We start from the raw sequence: 6541 nt of genomic DNA, 5'->3' as shown, positions 1-6541 counted from the left end.
CGATTCTAATAACATTAAGGAATTGAAAGGATTTGTCAACTAATAAGTCTTAGTGATGGACAGAGACAAGGAGATAACTGCACAGTTTTGAAACTGGATAGACTTTTAGCAGGAGAAAACCGGATCTTCAGGAAAAGTAGGATAGTCCATATTTGGAGCTGATTTTAGAAGAGTTAGAGATTTGGGATTTATTCAAGAAGTGTTCATTTAATGGCAATCGTGTGCCAGGCATCATTCTAGGCCCTAGAGATCTATCAGTGAACAAAATAGACTAACACCCCTGTCCCTACAGTTTCCAGTATGGAGAGTCAAAAAATAAATAAGTAAATAAGTTTATGTCAGCACAAAGCATTGTGAAGAAAAGTGGGAAAGGGGAATAAGCTATGGTCAGGGTAGTCAGGGGAGACCTCGTGGAGAATTCATTCAAGTGAAGACTTCAAGGGGGTGAGGAAGCAAGTCATGCGGATGCCTGGGGGGTGGGGGGAGACACATTCTAGCCAGAGGGAACAAGAAGACTGAGGGGAAGGAGAGTAACAGACAAGGTCAGAGTCTCATTGTGTAGGACCTTATAAATTGTAAAGAATTTGGCTTTTATTCTGAACGAGATTGGTGTCATGGATGTGACTTCTATTTTAAAAGCATCACTTTGGCTGCTGTGTTTAAAATAATGTGAAGTGGAGACGGGCATAGTAGTGCACATCTGTAGTCCAAGCTACTTGGGAGGCTGAGGTGGGAGGCACTCGAGTGCCCAGGAGGCTGAGGCTGCAGTGAGAATGTTCAGAATGTTCTGTGTCGGCACTGATAGGCTCAAGACTACAGACCTCATGATGTTCATGCCACTGCACTCCAGCCTGGGTGACAAAGTGAGGTCCCAGTCTCCAAAAAAAAAAAAAAAAAAAAAAAAGAGAGAGAGAGAGGGAAGTGGAATAAGGGTAGAAGCATCGAGATCAGTGAGGAGGCTATTATAACAACCCAGGAAGAGTTAACGGTGGCTTAGACCAGGGTGGAGGCGGTGAGAAATGGTCAGATACTAGATGTATTTTGTAAATAGCAGTCCAGATATGTTGATGATTTGAATGTGAACTGTAGGAAGAAAATGTGTGAATTTCAGCGTAGAATATTTGTATTTAAGTAGCACTATCTAAAAGCTCCCAGTAACATGAAGACTGGAGTGTGAGGAAGGGGACAATAGTGAAGACAGAGATTTGAGAAACATTCACAGCAGTGCTATCTAAGTAAGGCAAACTTTAGAGAGGGTCTCTGAAGCAAAGTGGGTGTGTGTACAAGATGTAAATATACAGCTAGGGAACATAATGGAGGAGACTGAATAGCAATGTGAAGGTTTAGAGAGTAGGAAGAGGAAGCAAGAGTGACAGGGGAATAGGATATTTACCGTCATCAATTCTAACTCACTGGATTTTGTACTTTGTGACTCAGTCTTTGAAAGAGAATGAGTCAACATAGTACTATTATTGCTATTTTTGGAAGTCTCCTACTAATGGTGATATTATCCAATCTTATTTGTGATTAAGGCATTTATCGTTTGCATTATCACATAACACATCTAACAGTTGACAGAACTTTGATTTGACAAATCAGAGGGGTGACTGGTATTCTTTTACCTTTTGAGTGCCTTTTGTTTCAGGCTGCTTAATTTGTACATATGAAAAACGTGTTACACTCACCTGTGATGAGCTGTCTTCTTCTTTGCCTAGGCAGTAACCTCATTCTGGCTTAGATTCTTTTTTTAAAAAAAAATGTATAAAACACTAGGATTAATTCACTGTTCATTTTTTGTGCTTATACATCCTTAACAGGAGCGAAAGTGGCTTTCCCTTTATGTGTTCAAAGGACTCTGTGAATTATAGTTAAAAGCGAGTGTTACATAAGCAAGGACCTCTGTGCACAAACAAGTCCAAGATTGAGCGGCAGAGTGAGGCGTCTCCTCTTTAACAGAAAGAGGCATTGAACTATTCAGAATGTTCTGTGTCGGCACTGATAGGCTCAAGGCTACAGACCTCATGGAAGTGTGGAGTTTTCAACAAATGTCCTCCAACTTGACTAATTTGGATTTGGTTTTTCCTCATGGTCCTAGGTCAGCAATACTCTTTTTTTGCTTGCATCTCATCAGCTATGCTCACCACTGTGCAAACTCGCGGTTATAATTCAGTTAGGCCTCCTCTGCATCTCTACACCCTGTGAAGCATCCCCCTGACACCCTCTCTGTTCCACAGACCACAGAAATTTTTTTCAGCCTGGGAATGCTCCCTTAACCCTTTCCTACTGCTTTGTCTGAATATATTTAGTGACTGAGAACATGTTTACATTATGATTATCATTATCAAGAAATATCTTCTAATGCATAATGAATTCTGACCTAAAGATTTTTTAATTTAGAAGCTTCAGGTTTCAAAAAATATATTTGTACATTTTCTCACCAATACTAATTAACATAAAACAGACTGGAATGAACTTGTAATAGCACTAGCCAGCATCAATTGAGAGATTACCATATGCCAAGCATTTTCTATCTTTTAACTTGTTTAATTCTTAAAACAAGTCTATGAGTCAAGTATTACTGTTATACCCATTTTACAGATAGGACAACTGAGTCTCAGATCATTAAATGTTGTTAAACATGCAGGTCATACAGCTATAAATTGGATTTGAACTCAAGCTGTCTGTCTCTGCAGTCCACATGGAGTTCCTACACTCCTCTGCTTCTGTACTTGTTCAAGAAGAACACTTCATTTATTTTTATAGCTGAGCCCTTTGAGTTTCTTAAGGGTGACAGCATTATTGGCATTTTGGATGGGATAATTCATGGTTGTGCGGGACAGTCAGTCCCACATTTTGTAGACTGTTTCATATACTTAGTTCCTGGCACTGAAAGTCAGTGGTTCACTGCCTGACCTTCATCCATCATTGAGAAATGAAAAATGCCCTCATACCTTTCCAAATGTTTCCCAGTTAAATGTCTCTGGCTGAGAGTCAACAGGGGGAAAGCCTGTATCAATTAAAAATAAATAAATGCATGCGCCCCTGCTTTGTGTGTTTGTGTGTGTGTGTGTGTGTGTGTGTATATACCAGAAGTTTTCTAAAAGTTTCGTAAGTTTTTATAAATAAGTTTACAACTTTTAACAACTGCTATAACTTTAAAAACACAGCAACATAAGTGAAAGGCAGATAAAATAATCAGGTATGAAAATGAGGTCTTTTTTAGGTATGGCTGCAATGCTTCTCTTTATTATTTGTGAATAAACAATTTTGAGGCTAAAGATCATGTATAGTTTAACACTCATTATAAAGTAAGATAAACTCTACTGTTTACCCATCTGCCTAGCAAACTTTTTTTTTTAATAGTGCAAAGGTAAACTTGAATTCAGCCTGTGCCAGATCTCAAAGTCACACATCTGAAAGTCATGATTTTTTTCCTATGTTTATTTTTGGCCGTCAAACTTCAGACCACTACACAAATGCCTGTTGCCTTTTTACCAGCTCCAATCCTTCCTCAACAAAATCATAATAAGCAAAAATATTTAGTAGCGTAAAAGTGAATTTTGGGGTATTGTCTTTTCTAAGCTACGCTAGGTACCCTTTACGAGACTGTACAATTGGAGCTAAATCTTCAAGGTCATCACGTAACTAAACCACTTACAAGGCTGAAATGTGAACTTTTCTTAACTCCATTTTTAAATGACTCCTTCTCAAGGATGTTATAACAATGCTCTGAGCTATGTACTGGGAGGAATACATTTATTTAAGGAGGAAAAAGGGTCAATTATAAGATGTATCTTGAAATAGATACACTTAGAAGTTCCATCCCCTTTTCTTCGCTTATTAAAATAGCCTACCAGCTTTAAACAAAACATTTTATAATTTTATGATGTATCTTAGGAACTGTCAATAAGGTAACAACATTAGGTTTTGTTCTTGCCCTCTATTGCCTAGATGTTTTGCAATATGCTGTCAGTGCTTGAATAACATAGCAGATGAGATGCCTTGATGTCCCTGAGGATTTAAAATTTAGGCCTCTTATTATTAGAACAATTTAATGATGATGTTGAGATTTAAAATAAGAATATCCCTTTGAAAGCTATGATATGACAGACAAACCTACATACTCTGTGGTAGAGCAGAGTGTTGAAATTATAAATCAGGCAAAATGAAAGCAACTCACAAAAAAATGTTTTAGCAGTTTCTTAACATTTGATTTATTGAAACTTCCCTAAAATAATTTTATACCTGAGAAAATAAGGCAGCTCATACTTTAGGAAGTACTTTATCCATGTGTGTATGCATTTTTATTTCATTTTTAAACGTCTAACATGTCACCCATTTTTACTTACCCTTTCTTTGAGCAAGGGTTAGAGACAGCTAAGAGAAATAGGGCATCACTTGCACTTACCAGGCCCTTTTTTGTGAAAGAATATGGCAGTATCCTGTAACTGAAATTTCTGGTGGCTTCCTGCCAGGGGAGTTTGCTTAGCTTGATCTGTGAAAAAGAGCAAACTACTGGATCTGAATAGGTTTCAGATTCCTTATGAAGGTGAAAATGGTCCTTAAAGTATAAAAGGATCTTGTTGGTGAGAAAAATAAAGAGCACTTTAACTGAAATTAAAATTTTTTATCTGCAAAAGGCTGAGTGGATTAAAGGGAGACAGCAAGTAACAAGAGTGACATGTTTAGGAAAAGCTCAAGATGAAAAAAATTGTATTACTGTAGAATGAGGGTTCTACCTAGAAAAATACAGATGAATCAGACTAGGAGTTTAGAATAAGGCATGTAACCTAATCATTCACTAATTCAACAAATATTTGAGCAGATATTATGATGAGTAAGACATGGTCTCAAGCTCTGCTACATACTGGAACTGAGTATTGAACCAAGGGCTCAAGAGTCAGGAGTGGTTTTCTGAACTGGGTTTGGAACAGTGATACGGAGTCTAGCTAGATAAGGGGATGCTGAGGATGGCAAATGGAGTTCTGGGGGAGAGGGCAATGCAGAAAGAAGGAGAGAACTATATTAGCAGTCATAAAAGATATAGTTATCCTGAGAAACTACAATTTAATTAAGCTTAGTGAAATGAGTACACATTCTATTTATGTGGGAAGGAAAGGAACATAAAACAAGTTGGGTATTACAAAGATTCTACAATGGAGATCATGAAAAACTAGAAAGAAATATAAATATGGAAGGAGTAAAGAAAACAAGTTTAAAAAGTACCATCTGGATGGTTAAGAAGTTTAGGAAAAAATGGAAAGAATTAAACATGTGCATTTTATTTCAGCTATTTCTAAAATATATTTATACCTAAACAAATTCTCAGGGGGAAGGGAGGGATAGGGAGAGATTTGTTAAAGGATAGAAAATTACAGCTAGACAGAAGGAATAAGTTCTAGTGTTCTATACCATGTATAGATGTAGGATGACTATAGTGAACAATAACATAGTTTCAAATAGCTAGGAGGATTATGTTCCCAACACAAATAAATGATAAATGTTTGGGATGATGGATATGCTAATTACTCTCTCTGATCATTATAGATTATGGGATCCAAAAATCACAATGATGAATACGTACAATTATTATTTGTCAATAAAAAATAAAATTAAACAAATTCTCCTTCATCATTGAGCCTGACTTCAAGCAGTGAGAATGTTGCCAATGAAATGATAGTGTTGACATAAGTACCATTATTAAGAACAAGACATATGCTAAATTGGGGTAAAATAGGGGTTGTGGCATCCGTATGAAAGAAGTGAAATTAGGCTAAATAAGTTAAAGAAAGACAAAGGTTATCTAAAATAAGCTGAATTACAGGTGATGGGAAAAATCTAAGTCAAGAAAAAATAAGCAAGAAAAAGTTCAAAAGAAAAAAGCATGTACAACTTACTGGTGGAACTATGGTAGCTTAAAAACTGCAATTTGAAGATATATATATATATATATCTACATATACATATACATATTAATTAACTGGATAATGGAGTCAGGTATTTTAGTAATTATGTAGAAAAAATAAATCTTGCAATAAAGGGGAAAAGTTTGGGTTTGAACTTTATATATTGACTGAATTCATCACTTACAGAATGAATTCAATGAACTTTTAGAATGGCTAGAGTCCCTTCCTTTTTACACACACATGTACATCCACTCCTTTCCTATTTAGTTCACATTAAAGAAAATATTTAGGCAAAGATTTTATATGAACTGTTTTGCCCACTTATTTAAAAACAATGACTTACATGATTAAAGTCCAGTATAACAAAACATTGGATTGTTTTTCAGCCTTTTGTTTTATCATTGTATTGACTGCACACAATGTATCTTGTGTGTGAGAGATGTTAGTCTAGTTGTTTTCATATCTATGAAATTCTGCTAACATTTTTAATTTATGTGTGAAAAGTGATTTTAAAAATATATAAAATGACAAATAAATATTTGTCTTTTTCCTCTTATTGCTTCACAAAATCAAATACCCTATATAAAACTTCTGGTATTGCCATTGTAGTGGTAATGCCTACAGCAAACTAGAAA

General features: G+C 35.9%; 1 annotated feature.

The window, feature by feature from the left end:
* Positions 918-2117: an enhancer, noted in NCBI's record as "MED14-independent group 3 enhancer chr13:52052769-52053968 (GRCh37/hg19 assembly coordinates)". NCBI's record gives its function as "activates an origin of replication core promoter dependent on BRD2, BRD4, P300/CBP and CDK7 cofactors, and independent of MED14, by STARR-seq in HCT116 cells {active_cell/tissue: HCT116}" and the evidence as "EXISTENCE:reporter gene assay evidence [ECO:0000049][PMID:35650434]".

The sequence above is a fragment of the Homo sapiens genome, chromosome 13 (genome assembly GCF_000001405.40).
Source record: "Homo sapiens chromosome 13, GRCh38.p14 Primary Assembly".
Taxonomy (NCBI): domain Eukaryota; kingdom Metazoa; phylum Chordata; class Mammalia; order Primates; family Hominidae; genus Homo; species Homo sapiens.
This window is presented reverse-complemented; position numbering and strand designations above follow the sequence as displayed.